Source organism: Homo sapiens, chromosome 19 (assembly GCF_000001405.40).
Source record: "Homo sapiens chromosome 19, GRCh38.p14 Primary Assembly".
Classification (NCBI taxonomy): domain Eukaryota; kingdom Metazoa; phylum Chordata; class Mammalia; order Primates; family Hominidae; genus Homo; species Homo sapiens.
In genome coordinates, this window is record NC_000019.10 from 46,958,327 (window position 1) to 46,984,800 (window position 26,474).

General features: G+C 47.6%; 1 protein-coding gene across 3 annotated transcripts in view, besides 3 other annotated features; it reads left to right on the forward strand.

Moving 5' to 3' along the window:
• ARHGAP35 (Rho GTPase activating protein 35) overlaps window positions 1–26,474 on the forward strand; it is a 144,081-nt gene that overhangs the window by 97,330 nt on the left and 20,277 nt on the right. The window lies entirely within an intron of this gene.
• Window positions 4,586–5,785: an enhancer, noted in NCBI's record as "BRD4-independent group 4 enhancer chr19:47466169-47467368 (GRCh37/hg19 assembly coordinates)". NCBI's record gives its function as "activates an origin of replication core promoter dependent on BRD2, P300/CBP, MED14 and CDK7 cofactors, and independent of BRD4, by STARR-seq in HCT116 cells {active_cell/tissue: HCT116}" and the evidence as "EXISTENCE:reporter gene assay evidence [ECO:0000049][PMID:35650434]".
• Window positions 17,786–18,643: an enhancer, noted in NCBI's record as "NANOG-H3K27ac-H3K4me1 hESC enhancer chr19:47479369-47480226 (GRCh37/hg19 assembly coordinates)". NCBI's record gives its function as "activates a minimal SCP1, AML or CMV promoter by ChIP-STARR-seq in primed H9 embryonic stem cells {active_cell/tissue: H9 hESC(primed)}" and the evidence as "EXISTENCE:reporter gene assay evidence [ECO:0000049][PMID:30033119]".
• Window positions 18,644–19,499: an enhancer, noted in NCBI's record as "NANOG-H3K27ac-H3K4me1 hESC enhancer chr19:47480227-47481082 (GRCh37/hg19 assembly coordinates)". NCBI's record gives its function as "activates a minimal SCP1, AML or CMV promoter by ChIP-STARR-seq in primed H9 embryonic stem cells {active_cell/tissue: H9 hESC(primed)}" and the evidence as "EXISTENCE:reporter gene assay evidence [ECO:0000049][PMID:30033119]".

Here is a 26,474-nt window from a genome sequence, read left to right on the forward strand (position 1 = left end):
GTGAGCCGAGATCGCACCACTGCACTCCAGCCTGGGCGACAGAGCAAGACTCCGTCTCAAAAAAAAAAAAAAAAAGTGTATGGTTTAGTGTGTGCCAGATCCTTTTTAAATTATTTCTCTTTGAAGATTCCTTCCTAGTCTAACAAATTTGTAGAAAACTACTATGGGAGGAGGGCCTAGCTTAGCAGGAGTTTTCCTTAAATATTTTATGTGTGGATGACACTGCGAGGCTTTTTCCTCAGACATCTGGAACTGGCCATCGGAGAGCTGCTCCAGGCAGTTGCTCTCTGTTGCTCTACCTCGTTGATTGACCGCTTCCTGCACATTGGACCTGTATGTATGATCCTGCACACCAGATGGGATCTGAGGAAGGCTCAGTCAGGAGTCCCTGAACCAGTTCCCACTGTTTGAAACAATGGTTTTGCACCCTGGTAGTGAAGCATTTGCTTTTGAGAACTGCAATTGCATGCCTTCTCTGACATCTGTAACAACAGGCATTCTCTTTCATCACTTTCCCACGCCCTCATTTGACCTTTACAGCATTTGGCCGTTTTTACTCATATATTGGGGATTGAGGTCACAGATGTCTCCAGTTTTGTCAAATAGGTGATATTTCTGTTTCTCATTCTCCTGGTTGCTTTTGTGTGATTCTCCAGAGGAAAAAGGGTAAAATCTTTATTCTGCTGTTTTTAAACGAAGTACAGTTAAGTAAAATAAATTTAGCATTCTGGAAAATCTCCTTTTTTAAAAAAAAATTTATTTATTTATTTGAGACAAGGTTTTACTTCACTGCCCAGACTAGAGTGCAGTGGCACAATCTCACAGCTCACTGCAACCTTGACTTCCTGGGCTCGGGTGATTCTCCCAGGTAGGGGCTACAGGCATGCACCACCACACCTGGCTACTTTTTTGTATTTTTTGTAGGATGGGGTTTTGCCATGTTGCCAGGCTGGTCTCAAACTCCTGTGCTCAAGTGATTCGGCCTCCCAAAGTGCTGGGATTACAGGTGTGAGCCACCACACCTAGCCAAAAATCTCCTTTTTTTATTTATTTTTATTTTATTTTATTATTTTTATTTTTATTTTTTTGAGACAAGAGTTTCACTCTTGTCACCCAGGCTGGAGTGCAATGACAGGATCTCTGCTCACTTGCAACCTTGGCCTCCTGGGTTCAAGCAATTCTCCTCCTTCAGCCTCCCAAGTAGCTGGGATTACAGGCACCCGCTACTACGCCCAGCTGATTTTTGTATTTTTAGTAAAGACAGGGTTTCACCATGTTGGCCAGGCTGGTCTCAAACTCCTGACCTCGGGTGATCCACCCGCCTCAGCCTCCCAAAGTGCTGGGATTACAGGCGTGAGCCACTGCACCCACCCAAAAACCTCCTTTTTTAAATGGTCTTTATATTTTGTCTACTGATGATGACTTCCTCACTACCATTGTTTTAGAAACTGCTCCTTTTGTGCCATTTAAAGGTAACTCGAAGCCAGGTGCGAGTGTGGTGGCTCCAGCCTGTAATCCCAGCATGCTGGGAGGCAGAGGGGCTAGAGGATCGCTTGAGCCTAGGAGTTCGAGACCAGCCTGGGCAACATAGCAAGACCTTGCCTCTACAAAAAAAATTTTTTTTTTTTTTTTAGTTAGCCATGCATTGTGGCACATGTCTATAGTCCCAGCTACTCAGGAGGCTAAGGTGGGAGGATTGCTTGATCCCAGGAATTCAAGGTTAGAGTGAGCTATGATTGCACCACTGTACTCCAGCCTGGGCAACAGAGCAAGACCTGTCTCACAAAAAAAAAAAAAAAAAGAAAGAAAGAAAAAAGTAACCCGATCTTGTTGAGGAATGTGTGCTTATGCCCTTTTCCGCCTTCTCTCCATTAGCCCTGGCTGTTTCTGTCTGCCTGTAATTTTATTAGCATTTCAGTCAGATCTGTCATTAGGTACCCATCTTCTTGGGTATACGTATCACTCTGCTAAGAAACAAAAGGAATACATGTCTCCTCCATGACTAGGCAGTGGGTGCCACAGGAGCCAATGTAGACCAATATAGTCATTCAGGCAGGAAGCTTATGTATGAGACGGTAGGTGATAGACCCCTAGATTCCTGTGGCTTCCTCAGGTCTTTTGTATATGAAGAATTTCATAGGTTTTCATTCTTTGGTCTACATGCAGAGAAGAGAGTTTCTTATTAGAGAACAGATTGGAGAAAAAAATAGGGCTTTTACTGTTTATTCCACGTATTTCTGTATTGTGTGAAAAGTAATTTAGCAATGAACACGTATTTTGTTAAAAAAAATTGTAGAATCGTTAGAAGTAAAAAGTAAAGTCATTTTCTCATTCTCAAAGTTACCTGCTATTAAGAGTTTAAATTGTACCTTCCAGAGCTTTCTGTATATGTGTCTACACATAATAGATATAATGTGCTGGGCTGCTTTTTATACAGATGGAGCCATGCTGAATGTGCTGTTCTATGCTTTGCTTTTTCCCACCTAAAAATGTATTGCATACATTTTCCTATAATGATGGGCATAAATCAGCCTTTGAAAAACTTGACTGGAGAGTATTTCTTTGGCTTTTTTTTTTTTTTTTCAGAGACGAAGTCTCACTCCTGTCCCCTAGGCTGGAGTGCAGTGGCGCAATCTCGGCTCACTGCAACCTCCACCTCCCGAGTTCAAGCGATTCTCCTGCCCCAGCCTCCTGAGTAGCTGGGATTACCGGCGCCTGCCACCACGCCCAGCTAATTTTTGTATTTTTAGTAGAGATGGGGTTTCACCATGTTGGCCAGGCTGGTCTCGAACTCCTGACCTCAGGTGATCCGCCCGCCTCAGCCTCCCAAAGTGCTGGGATTACAGGCATGAGCTGCCGCGCCCAGCCAACTGTATAATAATTTGTTTAATCAGTCTCCTGTTAAAAGACATCATCTCAGTCTTTTGTTAATATAGATAATACTGCATTGGCTATCTATACATGTGTAGACACATGTATACACACACATACATGTGCATGCAAATACATCTATAGGATAGATACCTCAGAATGGAATAGGCAGATGGAAGGATAGGTACATTTTATATTTTAAACAATATTGCCAAAATGCTCTCCAGTATAGCACCTCCATCAGCTGTATATTAGGGTAGTGGTAAAATGGTAATATGTTAGAATTGCAGCTGCCTTACAGTCATCCAGTCCACCTCTCCACAACATGGGTGAATCTCATGGACGCGTTGAATAAAAGAAGCCAGAAATAAAAGAATGTATACTGTATATTTTATTTCTATAAAGTAGAAAACCAGAAAACCTACCCATGCTATTAGAAATCAGGATAGTGGCCAGGTGCGGTGGCTCATGCCTGTAATCCCAGAACTTTAGGAGGCCGAGGCAGGTGGATCACCTGAGGTCAGGAGTTCAAGACCAGCCTGGCTAATATGGTGAAACCCCATCTCTACTAAAAATACAAAAATTAGCCGGGCGTGGTGGCGCACACCTGTAGTCCCAACTACTCGGGAGGCTGAGGCAGGAGAATTGCTTGAATCGGGGAGGCAGAAGTTGCAGTGAGCCGAGATTGCGCCACTGCCCTCCAGCCTGTGTGACAGAGTGAGATCCTGCCTCAAAAAAGAGAGAGAGAAAGAAAGAAAAAGAGAGAAAGAGAAAGAGAGAAAGGAAGGAAGGAAGGGAAGGGAAGGAAAGGATTGGGATAGTGGATATCCTTGGGGAGGGAGTAGAGGCTGGTAGAGGGCACAAAAGGCTTCTGGAATGCTGGGATGTTTTGTGTCTTGATCTGTGGGTGCTGTTTACACAAGTGTGGTCATTGTGTGAAAATCCATCACCGTACACTTCTCTGTAAACTTCTGAATGTGTATTATCTTTCAATAAGAGTTTGTTTTTTAAAAAAGCCTCTAGTCCCAACTCTTCCATTTTAAAGATAAGAACCCAGGAGTTGAAGAGATTCCCCACTGTCTTGCCATATGAGCAGCTCAGGGTTTCTGAGAGCCTGTGCAAGAAGCCAGAGCCCTGGCCTGCCTTGCCAAGACTGGCTAGTGATGTTGTTGGCACTTGGAAAGGCCGTGAATGTGTGACAATGTCTCTCACCTTGAGGCCCCTGAAGAATAATGGAGAGTCTCAGAGCCAGCTCATGTGTCAAATGGAATTTCTGGTTTTATAGCTTATGCTCTTGTGTTTAGGGCAGAAATTCTAGCACAAGGCCTCACACCCAGGCAGTAGACAAGGGTGGGGAAGTTTCTGATGGAGAAAAGTTCGGTTCTCTGTTACTCTGGCCAACCTCTCATTCTTTTGTTTTTGTTTTTGAAATGGAGTCTCGCTTTGTCGCCCAGGCTGGAGTGCAGTGGTGCGATCTTGGCTCATTGCAACCTCCACCTCCCAGGTTCCAGTGATTCTCCTGCCTCCTGCCTCAGCCTCCCACGTAGATGGGATTACAGGCATGCACCACCACACCCAGCTAATTTTTGTATTTTTAGTAGAGATGAGGTTTTACCATGTTGGCCAGGCTGGTCTCGAACTCCTGACCTCAGGTGATCCGCCCGCACTTGGCCAAAGTGCTGGGATCGCAGGCATGAGCCACTGCGCCCGGCCTCAACCTCTCATTCTTAGTCCTTTTTCTCACTGCATCCTCATCCTTCCCGTTTTGCTGCTGCTTCCTACTCCTTTTCAGGCTAGCCTATTTCAGAAAATTTTATCTTTTTTAGTAAAATTATTTGCTCAGAATAAAAATAAAGCAGATTTCTGTTTCATTCTTCCTGGGCCTGCTTTGGGAGGGTGGTGAGTGGTGAACTCCAAGGAATTGTTTGCATGGTGTGCTACCCTGATGGGAGATTCTCAGCGTCCAGGATTCCTTTACTTTTCTGTGGGGGTTCTATCTGGAAACCTTATGTGACTCAGGGCATAGTATGATTTTGAGCACTTCCTGTGGTCAAAAACTGTTGTCTTTGATTGGAAATTATGCTGTGTTCTGAGTGCTTGCTGGCACGCACACACTGTTGACTGCTTGTTCTGGTAGCACATCTGCGTGGGGTGCCTTAAAAGTGGGCACTCTCTCAGCAGAAAATTCCCATGTGGGACCTCAGTTCAAGCCCCTCCTCACTTTCATCACTTTCTTCTCTTTTGCTTCCCTTCCTCTGTGCCTTCACTCCTCCACACTGGCCTCAGCAAATCCCATCTATTTTCCAAGCCCCATCTGAAAGCGTGCCTCTTCTCTGATGACCATCCTTGTTGGAGCTGACTTTGCCGTCCCTCCTGTGGACATCCATGCCAGTTGTCTGTGTCATCTGTTTAGCAGTCATCTGGTCCTAACTTTTAGCTTATCTTTTATTATATCTAAGTGTGATCTAACTTTTCACCTTTATCTTGTCTCCCTGTCACCTCGAAAGAGGACACGACAGTGCTGTTAATTTTTCTATCTCCCATGGGACTTAATCGGTGTCCTCCACGTAGTATGCTTTAATAATGGTTTATTGCTGTGATACTGCTTCACAAATGCCAGCAGATGCCATGCTGTATCATCAGAGATGAGATTATTTTATTTATTTATTTTTAATTTTTTTATTTTTTGAGATGGAATCTTGCTCTGTCACCCAGGCTGGAGTGCAGTGGCGCAATCTCGGCTCACTGCAATGTCCGCCTCCCAGGTTCAAGCAATTCTCCTGCCTCAGCCTCCCGAGTAGCTGGGATTACAGGTGAGTGCTACTACCCCCAGCTAATTTTTATATTTTTAGTAGAGACGGGGTTTCACCATGTTGGCCAAGCTGGTCTTGAACTCCTGACCTCAGGTGATCCACCCGCCTCAGCCTCCTGAAGTGCTGGGATTACAGGCATGAGCCACCGGACTCATTATTATATGAGTCATTATTATATGCCCAGACAAGATTATTATAAATTTAAATTTAAATTTGTAATTTATTTTGTGAACCTGAGCAGGTGACTTTTTTTTTTCTTTTCTTTTCTTTTTGAGACAGGATCTTGCTCTATCACCCAGGCTGGAGCGCTGCAGTGGCGTGATCATGGCTCACTGCAGCCTTGACTGCTTGGGCTCAAGTGATCCTCCCGAGTAGCTGGGACCACAGGCATGCACCACCAAGCTTGGCAACTTTTTAAAATATGTTTCGTAGAGATGGGGTCTCACCATGTTGCCCAAGCTGGTCTTGAACTCCTGAGCTCAAGTGATCCTCCCACATCAGCCTCCTAAAGTGGTGGGATTACAGGTGTGAGCCAGCATGCGCAGCCAGTGGCATCATTCTTTAAGTCTACTTTTACTCCATAAGCCAATCTCCCATTGAAAAACTGACAAAAATAATTCTCAACTTTCAACTGGTTTCAGCTGACCCTCTGAATGTGGGATAATATTTGCTTGATAGGGCAGTTTCAGTTCAGCAGAAGGGCTGGTGTGGCTCATTGGAGCTTATGGAAGGGGGTTCTACCAGGGTAATAAGGTCAATATGTGAATCCTTTGATAAAAAAGAAATGGGCACAAGCCAACATGGACCCAGAGAGAGAATAAAAGTCTTAAAAACTTGCAGAAATGAACAGTCCTGGTAGGTCTTTGGTAGCCTGTCCAAATACAGAGCATGGATCTAAAGTGATTTCTTTCCCTTCATATGTTTATTCAGTTATCATAGTACTACCTTTTGATAGCCTTCCCCTATATTTTGTGACAATTACTTTATCAAATATTCAGTTCTTAAAATTGAGTCTTTTTAGGCCAGGCGCGGTGGCTCACGCCTGTAATCCCAGCGCTTTGGGAGGCCGAGGCGGGCGGATCACCTGAGGTCAGGAGTTTGAGACCAGCCTGGCCAACATGGTGAAACCCCGTCTCTACTAAAAATACAAAAATTAGCCGGGCGTGGTGACAGGTGCCTGTAATCCCAGCTACTCAGGAGGCTGAAGCAGGAGAATCGCTGGAACCCAGGAGGCAGAGGTTGCAGTGAGCCGAGATTGCGCCATTGCACTCCAGCCTGGAGGACAAGAGCGAGACTTCATCTCAAAAAAAAAGAGTCTTTTCTAAGATTTCTTTTGTTTTACTGATTTTACTTTCTTGTTTTTATACCAAAATCATGTTTCCTAAATTTTTACTCTCAAAAGTGCTTTAATAGCTGGTAAAATTCAACTTTTTCTCTGGGTCTTTTTCTTGGGTTTTTTGTTTGTTTGTTTGTTTGTTTGTTTGTTTGTTTTGAGACAGGGTCTCACTTTGTCACCTAGGCTGGTGTGCCGTGGCACAGTCATGGCTCATTGCAGCCTCGATCTCCCAGGCTCAAGTAATCCTCCCACCTCAGCCTCCCAAGTAGCTGGAACTTCAGGTGCACACCACCATGCTCAGCTAATTCTTGTATTTTTTGTAGAGATGGGGTTTCGCCATGTTGCCCAGGCTGATCTCCAACTCCTGCGCTCAAGTGACTCTCCTGCCTCAGCCTCCCAAAGTGCTGGGATTACAGGCGTGAACTGCTGCACTCGGCCTGGATTAATCTTTTTCAACTCCATGTTTCATTCCCATAATTGCTGTCTTTGCCAGAATATTCTTTAGCCTCACAATGTTTAGTTTTTACAATCCTAAAAGAATAATTGAACACCTGTTATGTGTCAGTTCCATTAGATGCTGGAGGCTAAAATATGAATAAGATAGTTCATATTGCCCCCTAGAAGGACTCTTAGTCTTCTCTGGTCAAAACCAAGTCAATAAAGGAAGTATTAGTTGGAAACCCTCAGTCTCCCCAGCCTCAATACCTAGCTTCACTTGTACATCCAGCAGCCCCTGGGGTCTACTTTGCAACCTTCCAGTTTGCCATATGTGATATTTTCTATTGGATCTTTTAAAGATATTTTTGGTATTTTTTTCTTTCTTTGCAAAATATTTATACGATTTTTGGTATTATTTTATTTAGTGCATTTTAACCATTCCATTGAGATTTTTATTTTATTTATATACAAAATGCAATTGAGGCCAGGCGCAGTGGCTCATGCCTGTAATCCCAACACTTTGGGAAGCTGAAGCAGGAGGATTGCTTGAACCCAGGAATTCAAGACCAGCCCCAGCAACATATCGAGACTCTGTCTCTACAAAAAATTAGAAAATTAATCAGGTGTGCTGGTGCATACCTGTAGTCCTGGCTGATTGGGAGACTGAGGCAGGAGAATCACTTGAGCGTGGGAGGTTGAAGCCATGGTGAGCCATGGTTGCACCACTGTACTCCAGCCTGAGTAACAAAGCAAGACCCTGTCCCCCACCCCCAAAAAATGCAATTGAACATCTTTGTAATGTATGGTCCTTCATTTCAAAGTCATGACACCTCTCTGCTTTTTTTCCTCTTCTCTTTTTTCTTGTGTAGTCATTACAGTTGTTTGTCTTACTTTCTAGGGTTGATGGGATGGAGTGAGTGTAATAAGTTAGTCTATAATAATATTTCTGGCCTATCAAGTACAAGGCATTTTTGAAGCCAAGAAGATCCTGAGGAAGCCTGAGGCCAGCCCCCATTGGAGATGACTACACACATCAAAGAGAAAATTAATATCTCTCCACAGTCAGTTTGCCCAGTGCCCATGAGGCTGCAGGGGTTAGTGCTGCAGAAGTCAGGGAGCTTGCTTGCTTGGAGTCTGGGATGGAGGCTTGTCCTTAAAGATACACTGGATTCTCTAACAGGATGGGAGGAATAGTCTAGGTGTGGAAAGTCAACTGAATGAGAGTCAGGTGTAGAGGTGAGAGGCCGTGCTGACCACGTAGCCATATTGCCCTAAAATCCTTTGAACGTCAGCCTCCAGCAATTGGACTTGGCCTGGGCTTTTCAGATTTTTTTTTTTTTTCTCAGATCCCTAGAATTGTAAGGGAGTCCTTCTGCATGGGGACGGGAAAGGTCAGGCCACCAGGACTCTGGATCCTTCAGCCTTAAGGTTCAGTTTAAGATTTCATTTGGAAGAAGGATTTTCTCACTCCTGAGAAAGCTTGTCAGCCCTCACCGTTACCATTTGCGGGAAGGTAGGGTTTGAAGGTTTTCATCCCAGAGAATCTGCTGACCTGAGTCAACAGCATGTCCTCCATGGGGAGGGGGTCTCTCCCTTGTTACCTTCCCACACCAGTCAACCTCATCAGTCAGTCCCATTGTTTTTACCACCTAAGCGTGTTTTCAGCCTGGCCCCTGCCCCTGCGTTTAGTCTCTCACCCTCTTCTTGGTTTACTGTGGTAGCCTCTTTGTAATTGACCTTCCTGTTTCTGGTCTCATGTCCTTTCAGTCCCTTATGCACACTGCTGCAAATATCTTTCCAAAATAAATGGGATCACTTCATCTTCACCTGCTTAAAACTCATCAGTGGTTCTGTATCACTCTAGGATGAAGTTTCATCCTACTACTTACCAGCAGGATGTGGTCCCTGCCCACTGTCTAGCTCTGCCTCTTGCCATTTCCTTCATTCACTCTAAACTTCAGCCCACAGATTAAAACTACGCACAGTTCCTTAAGCTGCCATTATATTTCTCACCCGCACTGCCTTTCCTTGCTGTTCCACTTCGAGACTCCCTCCCAGAGTCCTTCTCTGATCTGCTCTGTGAGCCAGGGCTCCCTGCCGTGTCTGTCACGCCCGGAGTCCTTCTCTGACCTGCTCTGTGAGCCAGGGCTCCCTGCCATGTCTGTCACGCCCTGTGCTTTCCCAGTGAACACGTAGCACACTGTACTCTGATTGTCTTCCTTCCTCAATGGATCCTAAGTTCCTTGAGGGAAGGGACCGGGTCATCTTCATTGTCTCCTCCAAGCCAAGCATACAGGGCTCTAGTAAATGATGATGAATGACTGAATGGCACAGAAACACTCCAGAGACCTCTCCCCTCAAAAGCTTCATTCAGTGGTGGAAACGTGGAATTGTATACATAGAAAGGGAGGAGGAAGAAGATTCATATAACACTAAGGTCTTGAGCAAGGTGGCAGTATCTGGGCAGGAGCAAATGCCCAGTGTTTAGTGTAGGGGCACAGCATGTGTGTTGCTGATAGGGCATGCGTGTGAAACATTTAGGTGGGATATCTAAATAAATGGGCTTGGACAGAAGGAGCTGTGGGTCAGCAGAGCAGGAGGGAAGAAAGCAAGGGAATCCACCGGCAAGGCTAATGGGAAGCCTGCTGTCCCTCGGCTGGAGGCCAGCCACAAAGTGTCACACACATCCTTCCTGAGTTTGGGGAAATATCTGTAGGTCACTTCAGAATTTGGGTTCAAAATAATATGGAGGCCACATTATTCATAATAGCCCCAAAATGGTAAGAACCCAAATATCCCACTGATGAGTGAATGGATAACGAGATATAATATATTCATACAGTAGAATATTATTCGGCCGTAAAAAGGAACAAAGTAGTGACGTGCTACAGATGGATGAACCTTGAAAACATTACGCTAAGTGAGGTAAACTAGTCACACAAGATCACATGGCCCATGATCTCATTTACACAGAATTATCTAGAATAGGCTAATCTATAAAGATAGAAAGTAGATTAGTGGGCCGGGTGCAGTGGCTCACACCTGTAATCCCAGCACTTTGGGAGGCCAAGGCAGGCAGATCATCTCAGGTCGGGAGTTCAAGACCATCCTGGCCAACATGATGAAACCCTGTCTCTACTAAAAATACAAAAATTAGCCGGGCGTAGTGGTGTGTGCCTGTAATCCCAGCTATTCAGGAGACTGAGGCGGAAGAATCTCTTGAACCTGGAAGGCAGAGGTTGCAGTGAGCCAAGGTTGCACCACTGCACTCCAGCCTGGGCCAGAGAGCAGGACTGTCTCAAAAAAAAAATAGAAAGAAGTAGATGAGTGGTTGCCAGGGGCTGCGAGAAGGGAGAAATTTGGAGTGGCTGCTCATGGATACAGTTTTTTGGGTGTTGATGACAGTGCTCTAAAATTGTGGTGATACTTGTGCAACTCTGAATGTGCTCACAGCCATCGAATTGGACACTCTCACAGTGGGTGAATTGTATGTTGTGTGAATTATATCTCAATAAAACGGTTGTGAAATAATAATCATAATAAACGGAGGATAGGTGGATAGATGTTTTACTCCAGGTTTGCTACTTAAAATTTTTCACTGAGTCTGCAGTGGCCTGTGTTCTTTTTGAGGTGGGTCCTTGGAGAAGAGACCTGCTCTGACAAAGCTTCCTCACTGCCTGGTGGTTTCTCCTGTCTGGCACATACACTCTGTCGGACTGCTTGAGGCACTGCTCCACTCTCAGGAGCAACCAGGGATGGGAGACAGCACTAGTGTCTTCGGTGAACGTCTGCATCCAGCCCGCGTGAGCTGCGACACACAGACCCTTAGAGAGCACTTGCCTCCTGCAGAGGTCTAGGGGCAGAGGGTTGGACCAGTCCTGCCCTCAATAACCACTCAGCGACTTGTTTTCTGTGGGGTGTCATCAGCTCAGAGAAGCAACACGTCTTTCCTAGGTTCTCTGAAGGAGATCTACTCATGCCATTGTTGGATCTGTCTGCTACAAGTGTTACTGGGCTGGATTCGAGGACTTTGTTTTTCCATCTGCCCTCTGTATTTTCCTAGGAATGCTTCTGTGAATACCCCCCTCCCACCTGCCAAGGCAAGTGAGGCAGCAGCACCAGGAGAGCTGGACCCCTGCACACACCACCACTGCCACCACGCTGCCTTTGCTCCGCTGCCTGGCTTCTCTGTTTCCCCTACTGAACTGTGAGGAATTGGGGCAAAGACTGCCTCTTCTTTCCATTACCTGTGACCCATAGTAGGCACTCGGGTATCTATTGAAGGAATTAGTGAATTTTTCTTTCCACGGATTGAATTAGATTGGGACAAAGAAAGAAAGTCATGGGGTGCAGGGTGAATTCTTGGGGCTTGATCACTTCAAGATCTCATCTTGGCTTAAGTCTGTCAACATTTTTCTTTTTCCTTACCCAGCCCTAAGCTATTTCCATTGGCAATATATTGCACACAAGCTGTGTTTCACTTCTTAATGCTATGGGATATTGCTGCTACAAGAGCCATCCTTGGTGTTTGCAGAAATATTTGTGATTTGAGGAACCCAGTGCAGTGTAGAGCAGGTAATGTGGGGGAGAGCAAACTCACACCCCTGCAGTCTCTAACTTGAAGGACTGTGCAAGCAGGCATGTTCCTTACGTAGGGGTGCTTAACCTAAGGTCTGTGGATAGGCTATGGAAGTCTGAACTCCTCAACATTACTGCGGAAATTTTGTGTGTGTGCACACACACCCAGGTGTACACTTGCCCTGTGGATGGTGCAGAGTCTATACCCTTCATCAGGAGATCAGAGTGAGGGGCGTCTCCTCCCCTGAAAAAGTTAGAGATCACTGTTCATTCACAGCGTTTGTGGAAACTATACCACTGATCGAGAGCAAGCCAGGACGATGATGCAGCCTTGTTCTCAAGGGATTTATAATCTAGTAAGGGTGAAGATTTCACCCTAAACCATGTAGAGCCTACAAAAGGAGGTCAGGGAGGCCAGGGAGGGCTGGGAGGTAGAGTTGTTGGGACTTAAAGGATGACTCGAAGTGGAATGATTGAGCCTAGATCAAATCATTTTCTCTTCACAGCTCTCCGTGACAGGAGACTGCATAGCTTCCCTGTGAGTCCATGGGCCCCAAAGTGATTATAACTGACCTCTAGCTTGACTGTGCCCATCCCCTGCCATTGGATCCTCTCCAAAACAGACAGTCATTGTCACGTATACTCACACGACACACAGGGAAAATAGCAACCAACAAACTGTTTCCATGTGTTAGAGTGGTAGAACCTGGCTCCATTTCCAGTGTCTCACCTCCATGTGTATGAACTAAAAATAGGCAAACTTGGCTGGGCGCGGTGACTGACGCCTATAATGCCAGCACTTTGGGAGGCCGAGGCAGGCAGATCACGAGGTCAGGAGTTCAAGACCAGCCTGGCCAATATGGTGAAACCCCATCTCTACTAAAAATACAAAAATTAGCCGGGCGTGGTGGCGTGCGTCTGTAGTCCCAGCTACTCGGGAGGTGGAGGCAGGAGAATCGCTTGAACCCGGGAGGCAGAGGTTGCAGTGAACTGAGCTCACGCCGCTGTACTCCAGCCCGGGCGACAGAGCCAGACTCCATCTCACACACACACAAAAAAAATAGACAAACTTCTGGGGGGTATCAGGGTGTAATGACTCCCTTGGTTTTTTGGGTTTTTTTTGTTTTGTTTCTCTTTTTTGGGGTTTTTTTTTTTGAGACGGAGTCTTGCTCTGTCACCCAGGCTGGAGTGCAATGGTGTGATCTCGGCTCACTGCAACTTCCCCCTCCCAGGTTCAAACGATTCTCCTGCCTCAGCCTCCTGAGCAGCTGGGATTACAGGCGCACGCCACCACACCTGGCTAATTTTTGTATTTTTAGTAGAGACGGGGTTTCACCAAGTTGGTCAGGCTGGTCTCAAACTCCTGACCTTGTGATCTGCCTGCCTTGGCCTCCCAAAGTGCTGGGATTACAGGTGTGAGCCACCGCACCTGGCCGGCTCCCTCAGTTTTATCCTTCCCTACAGAGAGGTGGCCTCACATACATCCATCTCACTTATGTTTTTATGTGATTGCAGAAATAACTCCCAATGTTAAGAACACTGATGAGTGGTGCACAGTTCTTCAGAAAATATCAGCCCAGTTTTTCCTAGAACTGCTGTCCAAAAAAACCCACCAAGCTTGTAAATGGAAATGGCTAATAAGTGTTGTTTGTTTGTTTGTTTTTTGAGATGGAGTCTCGCTCTGTCACCCAGGCTGGAGTGCAGTGGCACAATCTCAGCTCACTGCAACCTCCGCCTCCCGGGTTCAAGCGATCCCCCACCTCAGCCTCCTGAGTAGCTGGGCCTACAGGCGTGCATCAGCACGCCAGGCTACTTTTTGTATTTTTGTAGTAGAGATGAGGTTTCGCCATGTTGGCCAGGCTGGTCTCAAAATCCTGACCTCAGGTGATCACCCACCTCAGCCTCCCAAAGTGCTGGGATTACAGGCGTGAGCCACCGCTCCCGGCCAGCTAAGTGTTTAGAATAAGTAATATGCATATATTTTCAGCTTTATAACTAACTGAGAACAAATTGCAGTGTTGTCCTGATGGGACACAGCAGGACAAAAGGCCAACTATTTCTTGAGCTGATTTCCTACAGCTGCTGGTGAACTAACTCCCAGATTGCTTAATCTAACTGGGAAGTGCTCTTTCTTTAGACTTAGGCGTGCGGCGCACAGCCTTTCGTGAGAGGTACGAAAGCAGTGTCTGCGGGCAGCATGACAGATGTGGCCCTGAGCGAGTTCCTTCACTCCTGAGTCTCCCTGTCCTTGATTGAAAAATGAAGACAAAAGTAGCTTCCTTGCAAAGTACTTGCACATATTAAAAGAGATAATATGTACCAAGTGCCAGGCTGGAGCTCACATTGCCAGGCCCTGTGCTAAGTGTTTCCATGAGTCTCATTTAAGCCTCATAGCAACCATATTAGATAGCTGTGATTTCCAATTTTCTCTTAAGAAAAATGGGATTCAGAAGGATGAAGACAGAATCTGGGATTCAAACCCAGAGCCATTGCCTGCTAGCCACACTGCCTTCCTTTACTGGAGTGAATTGAAGCCCACAGAAGACAGATCAGGTGGAGTCCTGGCTACTCACAGAGCAATGGAAACAGGCAGATAGTATTCAACCCTGTTCCCCTGCACTGAAGATTTACTTCCAAACCTCTCTTAACTACCTGAGGATTTTTTTTCTTCCTGACAAATCTGTACATTTTCTTTTCTTTTTTAAAAAAATTGAGACAGGTCGGCTGCAGTGGCTCACGCCTGTAATCCCAACACTTCGGGAGGCCGAGGCAGGCAGATCACCTGAGGTCAGGAATTCAAGACCAGCCTGGCCAACATGGTGAAACTCTGTCTCTTCTAAAAATACAAAAATTAGCTGGGCGTGGTGGTGGGCACCTGTAATTCCAGCTACTCAGGAGGCTGAGGCAGGAGAATCTGCTTGAACCTGGGAGGCGGAGGTTGCAGTGAGTCGAGATCGTGCCGCTGCACTCCAGCCTGGATGACAGAGCGAGACTCCGTCTCAAAAATAAATACATAAATAAATTAAAATGAAAAATTGGCCGGGCGCAGTGGCTCACGCCTGTAATCCCTGTAATCCCAGCACTTTGGGAGGCCAAGGCGGGTGGATCCGAGATCAGGAGATCGAGACTATCCTGGCTAACACAGTGAAACCCCCTCTCTACTAAAAATACCAAAAACTTAGCCGGGTGTGGTGGCGGGGCGCCTGTAGTCCCAGCTACTCGGGAGGCTGAGGCAGGAGAATGGCGTGAACCCAGGAGGCAGAGCTTGCAGTGAGCAGAGATCGCACCACTGCAATCCAGCCTGGGCAACAGAGCGAGACTCCATCTCAAAAAAAAAATTGAGGGCCAGGCACAATGGCTTATGTCTGTAATCCCAGCACTTTGGGAGGCCGATGCAGGTGGATCACAAGGTCAGGAGTTCGAGACCAGCCTGGCCAATATGGTGAAACCCCATCTCTACTAAACCCCATCTCTACTAAAAATACAAAAATTAGCCGAGCATGATAGCGGACACCTGTATTCCCAGCTACTCAGGAGGCAGGATAATCTTTTGAACCCAGGAGGCGGAGGCTGCAGTGAGCCAAGATTGCGCCACTGCACTCCAGCCTGGGTGACAGAGCGAGACTCCATCTCAAAAAAAAAAATTGAGACAGAATCTCGCTCTGTTGCCCAGGCTAGAGTGTAATAGCACAGTTACAGCTCACCTCACAACAGCCTCAACCTCCAGGCTCAAGCAATCCTCCCACCTCAGCTTCCCAAGTAGCTGGGACTACAGGTGTGCATCACCACACCTAGCTAAGTGTATCTTTTCTAACACCACTTCTTCAGTTTTCTGACACCACTGGGTGTCTGTCTAGCAATTCATTTAATTCTGACACTAACTCCCAAAGTTAGCATTAGACTCCATAAGTTCAAGGGCTCAGTCCCACAAGACTGCCCTTCAGATGCCAGTTGCAAGTACTGGGTGACTAACCAGAAGTAAGCTTACCCACACTTCTGTCCTACTTGCCTTCAAAGTCTGGCGTTACCATCCCATTCCTCCCTGGGTTCCATAATTTGCTAAGATGACTCACAGAATTCAAGAAAACGCTTAACATACATTTGCTGATTTATTATAAAGGATATAACTCAGGAACAACCAAATGGAAGAGATGCAAGGGACAGGATGTATGCAAGGGCGGCGATTCACCAGGAGCTTCTGTGCCCTCTCTGGATACACACTCTCCCAGCACCTCGATGTGTTTACCAACCCAGAAGCTCTACAGACCCTGTCACTGAGGGTGTTTATGGCGTTTCTGTGATGTCCGCTTGATTGATTAACTCATTGGCCATTGGTGATTGAGCTCAATCTCCAGCCCCTCTCCCCTCACCCCCAGAGGTCGTGGGTGGGGCTGACAGTTCCAACCCTCTAATAAAGGTTTGGTCTTTCTGGAGACCAGCCCCCATATCCTGCACTATCTAGGGGCCCACAAGAGTAACCTCATTATCATGAAACTCAGGTTTGGTTGGAAGGGGCTTGTTTGTTCTGAGACGGAGTCTCTCACTGTTGCCTGGGCTGAGTGCAATGGCACGATCTCGGCTCACTGCAACCTCCGCCTCCCGGGTTCACACAGTTCTCCTGCCTCAGCCTCCTGAGTAGCTAGGATTACAGGCGCATGCCACCACACCCGGGTAATTTTTTGTATTTTTAGTAGAGACAGGGTTTCACTATGTTGGCCAGACTGGTCTCGAACTCCTGACCTCGTGATCGGCCTGCCTCGGCCTCCCAAAGTGCTGAGATTACAGGCATGAGCCACCATGCCTGGCCAGAAGGGGCTTGTTAATGAGTAACAAAAGATACTTCTATCACTCAGGAAATTCCAAGACTTTGGGGAACTCTGTGCTAGGAGCCGGGGACAAAAACCAAATATATATTTCTTCTACTACACTGCCCCATCCCCTCCTGCAGGGGTCCTAAATTTAAGACCTTGCTAGTGGGCTTCCTGCACCCTTCTGAGGGTGCGCAGGAGAGGAGGCTGCCAGCCTCTACATCTGGAAGGAGCACCAGGGAGGGCCCAGCCTGGGGCTGGGAGCTCAGGGGCCAGTGTGCCGCGGCAGCACAGTGAGAATCCTGGGCCTGTGTGGGGCTTGTTCTTCACTTTACACCCCATACATGGTTTATTAGTTAATCTCCCGTGAGCCAGAGGACAGTATTAATCTCAAAGTAATGCTAATCCCTTTTTACAAGAGGAAACAGAAATCCCCAAGTCCTCTGGCAGAGGCCGTTCACAGCCCATCAGAATGGAAAAGGCCTACGTTCCAGCCCTTTTCCTGTCTTCTCTGCTTTAGGCTGATGAAGCTGTGAGTTTTATAGCATTGGACTGAGCAGATTCAGAATTTTACCAAATACCTTCCCACTTGGAAAACAGCCACCCTGCAAAAAACCTCCGTGTTTCCCTCCACATTCATCATAGCCACCAGTTCCTAGAGCTATCATGAAGGAGAGTTGGCGGGACGAGAGCTGTTAAATTCAGTTAGTTACTATTTCCCTGCAGTCAGCCTAGATCTATGTAATTCTGTCTTTCAGAGAAGGCAGCTAATTTCAGTATAGATACTCCCATCTATCACTGTAACAGTTTAATAGGTACGGTTATAGCTTGAATACACCAACAGGCTTTATGTGAGTAATTGCCGTATTTGCACTGCTTTGAATTGATAAAGTGCTAAAATATGAGGTATACTGTTTCATATGCTGTGATTTTTATGGGGGCTGTCTGTTACTTAATCTCTCTCCCTCCCCCTGTAATTCTAGTTTTACTAACAAATTGCTTTCCCACAGTCCAAATAGTTTTAAAACAAAGCTTTCTCCTTTTTTTTTTTTTTTTTTTTGCTACCATTCCTCACCACCCTCCCGTTTTTCTGCTTGCTTATAAGTTAAGCACAAGTCACTTGCATTCCAGAAATTCCCCATTGCCATAAAGGCAGGCAGTCAGCTCGCCAGCTCTTGCCTGTTCCAGATAAGCAGGGTTCATTTAGCTTGTGACTCGGCATTGCTAGCGGATTTCCTCAGGCCCCAGTGCCCTGATCAGAACAGTGTGCCCTGGCACACCGCCTGGAGAGCCCAGCAGCCAAGGAGAAGTAGAGCTTGTTTCACAAAGTAACCCTGGCCTTCCATCCAAGACAGAAATAGTCTGGGTGGCGGCCCAAGGCCCCGAGACGGTTCCAGCCGGCTGCTTTGCCTGGCTGTCCCGGCTGCACTCGCCTTCTCCATGGTGGGGAGCTCGGGCAGACAGGTTGCTCTGGCCTGAGCGTGCCAACCAGGCCCATGGCCTGTCCTGCCATATTTGCCAAGGCAGTACAAACAGGACGGTACAGCAGGCTGTCCTGTGAGAGTGGTCCCAAGGAGCAGTACCCACTCTCGGCTGCAGGACCTTCTCGGGCCCTTGGTGGAGCTGGCCTGACTGTGCCATTGAATTATCACCTGGGGGCTCCGGTGGCCCTTGCTCTTGCTCTGTGTCTGTCTGTTCATCTCACTCACACGCACACCTTCTGTGCTGCCTTGCTCATGAGGTTTCACACCCAGCAAATCCCCATGCCTCTATAACCCCTGTCAGTTTCCTTGACCTCTGCTTTTTTCCTGTTCATTTCACCAAAGCCAGTGAAGCACAGATGAACTAACCTCTTCTCCTCCGTGTTACACTCACTGTAAAAACATCTAAGACCCGCATAAGGTCAGTCTGGGAAGGCTGAGCCCTGATAAAAGGCGACAGAGCAGCCCATTAGCAAGAATGTGGCCAGCTTCTGCAGGGGGCGTGGCCCTGTGGGGACTCCCAGCCACAGCCAAACCATGGCTCTGCCCTGTAAAAGTTAACAGCCAGGTCTGGAGACCAGACTTAACAGCAGCACATGACTGGCTGTGGCGAAATAATGAACCCACTACGTTCCTAGTGAAGTTACCGGGAAGAAGGGGAGGGAGAAGGCTTCTTGGTGAATGTAGAACCTCAATACATCTGGAAAGGAAAGTAGGAGTTGGATGCTCCAGCCGCTTAGGGAGCAGCTCCTCCATGCTGGCCCCAGTAAGGCACAGGCCCCTTGAGAACAAACACTTGAGTCGCCTTCCTCCCTCTCTTCAGCTGGAGAAACGCTGCACTTTTCTTCCTCCTTCCCTCCTTTCTGAAGACAGCTACTGAATGCCTTCCCTGGTACTAGTTACTGTGCAAGCCCAATACACAGACGGGTGATGAGAGGACTCTGCCTGCTCCTGTGAACTCAGGGGTCTACCAGGGGACCAGCATTAAGCAGCTAATCACACAGCTATCCAGCGACTTTCACATGGTGCCCAGGGCTGTCCAGGAAGAGCATGGAGACAGTGCCTTGTGGTGATTGATTAAACACAGACTCTGGAATCGGACTGCCCGGGTGTGAATCCCAGCCCTGCCATCTGTTTGCCACGTGGCTCAGTTTGTTCAGTTATAAAATGGGAAGAAGAATGGTAGAATACAACTCACAGAGCTGGTGTGAGGACTGGGTGAGACAGTGCATGTAAAAGGCTTATGGCTGGCCTTGGCCCAGAGTGCCGGCACTGCGTAAATGTAAGCAATTGTTGGGATCCTATAACAGGAACTTAATTTAGTCTAGGAGTCAGGGGAGACCTCGGAGGGAGCATTGTTTAGTCACAGAACAGAGGTAAAAGTGGAAGGAACAACTGTAGGGAGGCCCTGCAAGTTCATCAGGACTGCAGTGAAGTATAAGGGGAGGGTGGCAGGCTTGAGCCTGGTGACAGGAGCCCCCGAGGCCACATGTTGAGAAGTTTGTGTTGTACCCTAGATTTTTATCCTAGATTGCAGGGACTGGGATCAGCCTTCCTGCCTGAGGCTTACAGGCTTCTGACTCTGAAAAGTATTCTTTCTTAGGGAAGAGAGGCCAGGAAAGGAAGGGACACTGGGCTGTGATTGGTGACATGTTTGCCTCCTTTCATGGGTCATTGGGAATCAGGAACCTGAAGGAAGTTAACCTCTGCCCTCCTTAATGCTTGGGAGGAATCTGCTTGTAACCCCAAGGGGCTTTTCTACTTGGGCCTGCCGTGGAAAGGAAGCGGGTGTTTTGTGTGTGTGTGTAGTGGGGTCTGTGTGTGGGGGGTAGGATATGTGTGTGTGTGGTGGTGGCGTGTGTGATGGGATGTGTGTGTGTGGTGGGATGTGTGTGTGTGGTGAGGTGTGTGTGTGGTGGGATGTGTGTGTGGTGGGGCGTGTGGGGGGGGTGTGGTGTGGTGTGTGTGGTAGGGCTGTGTGTGCGGTGGGGTATGTGTGTGTGGTGGGTGTGTGTGGTGGGGTTTGTGTGGTGGGATGTGTGTGTGGTGGGGCATGTGTGTGGTGGGATGTGTGTGTGGTGGAGTCTGTGTGGTGTGTGTGTGTGGTGGGGCATGTGTGTGGTGGAATGTGTCTGGTGTGTGTGGTGGGATGTGTGTGTGTGGTAGGGGGTTTGTGTGGTGGGGGATTTGTGTGGTGGGGTGTGTGTATGGTGGGGTTTGGTGGGATTGTGTGTGTGGTGTGGGGGTGTGTGTGGTGGGGTGTGTGTGTGGTGGGGTTTGTGTGGTGGGCTGTGTGTGTGTGGTGGGGTTTGGTGGAAAGTGTGTGTGTGGTGGGGCTTGTGTGGTGGGACGTGTGTGTGTGTGTGGTGGGGCAGGTGTGGGGGGGTGTGGTGTGTGGTGGGATGTGTGTGTGTGGTGGGGTGTGTGTGGTGGGATGTGTGTGTGTTTGTAGGGGGGTGTGTATGTGGTGGATGTAGTACACCTGTATTGTGCTCGCGGTCTGTTTCTTTGTTGGTGGATCTTTAGCCTGTAAGATCCCTCACAGTGGTGGCACCAGCTCTCCTCGGAGTCACACTGCCATCACTCCAGTGCCACTGGGCCTGCGTGGGCATGCCAGCAAAGTCACACTTCAGAGCATGAAGACGTCTCACGTTCTTGGCAGGACGGCTCTCCCAGCTGCTCCTGGCTTTGAATGTTCACTCCCGTTTTGCAGAGCGCAGTCGGCTCACCTCGATTATGGACCACACTCTTCCTCCAGAATGGGCAGGGTGTCAGCTCTAGGCTGGCCTCAAGTTCTTTGCCAGCGTGGTTTCTTAAGCCCAGCTGTTGGGATATGCATTTTCTTGAAAGTCAGGGAAAAGAATGGAGCCCCCTGTTGGGCTCAGAGCAGGTCCAGAAGTCCTACTTGACGGTTCATGGCAGCAAATGCATAGGCAGCTTCTGAAGGATCAGCCAGATGCTAGAGCCATCTGATCCCCCAGACCTGGTGCGATGTTGCACCTCCTCCCTCCTCCTCAGCCCTGAGATTTATGACATGGCCGTGTGCGCATCGCTGGCATCGGGAATGTATAAAGCCACAGTGCCTGCTTGTGGCACTCACACCCAGTCAAGTCATCGTAATAGAGTGTTAGTGGCCTTCTATCATGGGGGGAAAGTCTGGCACAGGAAGAAGCAGGTCTTGACTGACAGGGGAATTACCTGGGAAGACAGCTAACGAAGGGGCAGGGGAGGGACAGAGGACCCGAGTGTTCAAGGAGGAGAGCAGCCAGAAAACCACCCAGGCACCTCCCGAGCAGGAAGGCAGCAGGGGGAGCTGCGGGGACTCGTGTGATTTCAATAGTAGCGCTTCTGCGGAGAGACACAGCGAGGAAACCTTCTCTATGGAGAGGAGGCCGTCGTTCTTCTCAGGCCAGACATCCTTGCCCTCCAGTTCATAGAAGAGAAAATTGAGGGCCGGGCGCGGTGTCTCATGCCTGTAATCCCAGCACTTTGGGAGGCAAAGGTGGGCGGACCACCTGAGGTCAGGAGTTCAAGACCAGCCTGGCCAACATGGTGAAACCTCGTCTCTACTAAAAACACAAAAATTAGCCAAGCGTGATGGTGGGTTCCTATAATCCCAGCTACTCGGGAGGCTGAAGCAGGAGAATCGCTGGAACCCGGGAAGCGGAGGTTGCAGTGAGCCGAGATTGCACATTGCACTCTGGCCTGGGCAACAAGAGTGAAACTCTTGTCATCTCAAAAATAATAATAATATTTACAGCATCTTGACAGACTCATTAATGATGTCATTACCCCATTTTGGATGAGGATTCCAAGCCCCTGAGAGGAGAGGCGATTTACTCTCAGACACCCAGCCTAGCTATAAGACAGAACCAGGATCAGAACCAAGGTCATTTTGGTGTCAAAGCCATGCATGTTTTAAAATGTTTTTCTACAAACTGTCTTGTTTTGGCCACGCTCTCAGAATAGGTCATGCCTACAGGCAGGTGCCATTGTTGAGGCTTGTTAAGAGTGTAGAGAAAAAAGAATACTGGCAGGCATTGTGCAGTGGACTGTGCATAGACGATCTCATTTATTCCATTGTACGGTCAGATTAGCTGAGGTCAGGGGCAGGATTCGAACCCATGTCTCCCTGACAGCAGAACTCAGGTGCTCATCCACTTGCCAACCAGCTTTCCACTTAGATCATTAGGATAATAGCTACTCTCTCAGCACTAAGTGCTAAGATCTCATTAAATACATACCACCAGGGGATGAGGTGAGAACTGTTATCTCTGTTACACATAGAAGGAAATGGAGACATGATTGCTTTGATTTTGACCTAAATGCTCTCCTGCCCCCTCACCCTTTGATCTTCCATTGAGGTGAGATTGGGGGAGTGCCGCAGTGTGGTCCTCAGAAGACACACCATAGATACACTGTTAGCATTGGATGAAAAAGAAGGGCTTCATACCTTTCCACAGAGGTCGGTCCTCTTCAAGACCATTTGAATTTAATGCTCAAAGAGTTTCCTTCTCTCCCTGAGTGCTCAGCACCCCTCCGGCCTTGCAGTTTAGCCTGCCTTAGACTTAGTCTTGCATGTGTAAAAGAAAAAGGGAATGGTTTATTAGATGCTTCCAGACTCCAGAAAAGTCGACAAAAGTTGTTAGTTAAGTCCTGCCTGGCATGGGGTGTTTTAGAGTACTAGCAGTGCCAATTAAATTTTTTTAAAGGACTAAGTGCTGAGTTTCTATATCTAAATATAGAAAGTAAAAAATAAGCAAGTCTGAGTTCGTCTTGGAGGAAGTATTGATGTGTTGCTAGAAAGGAAACTTTGGAGGAACTGAGTCCTGGTGTGAAGGAGCAGAGGCGAAGCCTGACGCTGGCCGACAGCACTGCTGCTAAGAAGGGCCTGCCTGGGGTCCAGGATCAAAACCTGTTTGGATATTTCAGAAAATCAGGATACCAGGAAAGGAGGTGATTTTCCCCATTGATTTCCAAGCTCCTGAGGGGCATCTCTCCATTTTTTTAGTGTCCGTCCTGCCACAGACACCTCCCAGGAGCAGGGCCAGCCACCACAGCTCTGACAGGGCAGTCGAAGGGCTGAAATACCAGTTCCTAGTCCATGGGGAAGTCCCCACCAGCTCTCACCGGAGGGCCGTCTAGTCTTCCTATGTCACCAAAGTATTTTTTGGTGTTTTGTTTTGTTTTGTTTTGTTTTGTTTTGTTTTGTTTTGTTTTGAGATAGGGTCTCACTCTGTCTCCCAAGCTGAAGTGCAGTGTTATGGACATGGCTCACTGCAGCCTCAACCTCCCAGGCTCAAATGATCCACCCACCTCAGCCTCCCAAGTAGCTGAGACTACAAGCATGACACCATGCCTGGCTAATTTTTTATTTCTTGTAGAGATGGAGTCTTGCTGTTTTGCCCAGGTTGGTCTCGAACTGGGCTCAAGCAATCCTCCCGCCTTGGCCTCCCAAAGTGCTGGGATTATAGGCGGGAACCATCACGCCTGCCCTGCCAAAGTATTTTTGTGGAAGACCAAGACTGAAAACTGTGTAAAGGAGCCGGGTGCGGTGGCTCATGCCTGTAATCCCAGCACTTTGGGAGGCCAAGGCGGGCGGATCACTTGAGTTCAAAAGTTTGAGACCAGTCTAGCCAACATGGCAAAACCCCATCTCTACTAAAAATACAAAACTTGGCCAGGTGCAGTGGCAGGCGCCTGTAATCCCAGCTACTCGGGAGGCTGAGCCATGAGAATCGCTTGAACCCAGGAGGCGGAGGTTGCAGTGAGCCGAGATTGAGCCACTGCACTCCAGCCTGGGCAACAGAGTGAGACTTTGTCTCAAAAAAAAAAAAAAAGATTAAGCAATGCCTAAGGGCTTGTTTTCGTATAAAAAGCAGCAGTTTTCATGCTGTTTGGAAGTGCTTTGTTCCTAAAGTATGTGGTATCTATTTTGCCTGGTATATTACCCCTGATTTTATTGAATCATAGAATTCAAGAGTTCTGACTAAGACTTCTCTGGAGCCTTAGAGCTCTGGCACATCTTCTAGAATGGCAGTTCTCCAAGTGTGGTTCGCTGGCCAGCAGCAGCAGCATCATCTGGGAATGCATTAGAAATGCAGATTTTGAGGCCAGGCGCAATGGCCCACACCCAGAATCCCAGCATTTTGGGAGGCAATGGCAAGAGGATCGCTGGAGCCCAGGAGTTTGACACCAACCTGGGCAACAAAGTGAGACCCCCATCTCTACGAAAAAAAAATTTAAAAATTAGCCAGGTGTGGTGGTGCACACCTATAGTCCCTCGCAGCTACTCAGGAGGCTGAGGTGAGAGGATCGCTTGAGCCTGGGAGGTTGAGGCTACAGTGAGCCAAGATGGTGCTACTGCACTCCAGCCTGAGTGACAAAGCAAGACCTTGTGTACAAAAAAAAAAAAAAAAAAAAAAAAAAAAAATTCTTGGGCTCCCCTCCAAACTGACTGAATCCAAAACTCTGTGGCTGGAGCCCCCGCACCTGCACCGTAACAGGCCCTCCAGGTGACTCTGCTGCATGCTCACTCTTGAGAAATAGTGATTTTGAGCATCATAGAAGAAGAACTCAGGTAGGATTCAAATCCCATCTGTGCGACTCACTCATTCTCTACATGTTCCTTTACCTCCTGGTCTCAGCGTTCCTGTCTGTAGAATGGGATAATAATCACCAGTCTGGAGGGGTTATTGTGAGAACTGCTATGAAAAGGCACGAAAGCACTTAGCACCGTGTGCCTCATACAGAGTAAGCATTTGATAAATGGCTTATCATTATTGTTATTAGCTAGCTTCCTAGACCAGGTATTCATCTTTTTAAACAGTACCCCAGTCAGATGGTTGTCTGGTGAGAGGAGATTCAAAAATTCTGGTCTATTTCAATGAATAACAGCTATGGCTGTTAATAGTTATATATTGAGAGAATATTTGCCATTCTGTAATGTCCATTCTTTTTTTTTTTTTTTTTTTTTTTTTGAGACAGAGTCTCGCTTTGTCACCCAGGCTGGAGTGCAGTGGCACGATCTCAGCTCACCGCAAGCTCCGCCTCCCAGGTTCACGCCATTCTCCTGCCTCAGCCTCCCGAGTAGCTGGGACTACAGGCACCCGCCACCATGCCTGGCTAATTTTTTTTGTATTTTTAGTAGAGACGGGGTTTCACAATGTTAACCAGGATGGACTCGATCTCCTGACCTCGTGATTCGCCCGCCTCGGCCTCCCAAAGTGCGGGGATTACAGACATGAGCCACTGCACCCAGCCTTGTAATTCCCATTCTTGATTGTAGCTCTGTCCCCTAGAACCATTGGAACAAGACTTTTCTACATGGCCTTGTTCAGATATTTGAACATAGTGATCTTGGCTGTTCTGAGCTTTTTCTTGTTCTATTTCCAAAGATTAACTTAAACATAGAAGATAATTGCAGCCAGTAGGGAGGGCTTTTAAAAAAGAAGGAGAGAAACAGAAAAGGCCTGCAGCCAAGGCTATGCTTTGGTGACATGGGTCTTTGGAGATTTCTGGTAGGTAAGGATGCCTGTGAGTTTAAGGTTGAGGCTTTCTCAGATGGACTTGGGAGCCTGCAGTAGACATGGTGGGTGGAGGTCACTGTTGGTAAGAATTCTGCCTTCTGCCACTGGCGGGTGTGGGCCAGAGTCACCCCTAGGGTGTTTCCATGTAGGAACAGTGGGGTGTTCTAGACACAAATGCCTTAATATCCAGCATCTTTGCCAGGGGGTCTGCTCCAGGACCCCAGCCCTTTTCCTGCTGTGGTCTCAGGCCTTTGGCAAGCTGCCCGTGCTCTTTCCAGCGTCCTGTTTCTCACCTGGGTTGCCAGCTCCCTGCAGCCTTGGTGGTGTTTGCAGCCTGCTCTCAGTTTTTTTAATCTTTTTTTAATTGATGTCTAATTAGTAGTTACGATAAATTGCACTAGCCAAGCAAATGCTACCTTTCCTAAATTACGCCGTGGTATTGTGTACGACAGCAGCAGGGTTGCTATTTTAAAATGGGATTGCGTAAAATAAACATGTGCCCAGATGACAGGAAGTACTAAGTTGATGATTAATTGATGCTCTGGTACGGCCTCGTGCTTTCCAGTGCTTCCATTTGTGTGACGATCCATCTAGTGAAGTTTCAGCAGGTCCACACCACT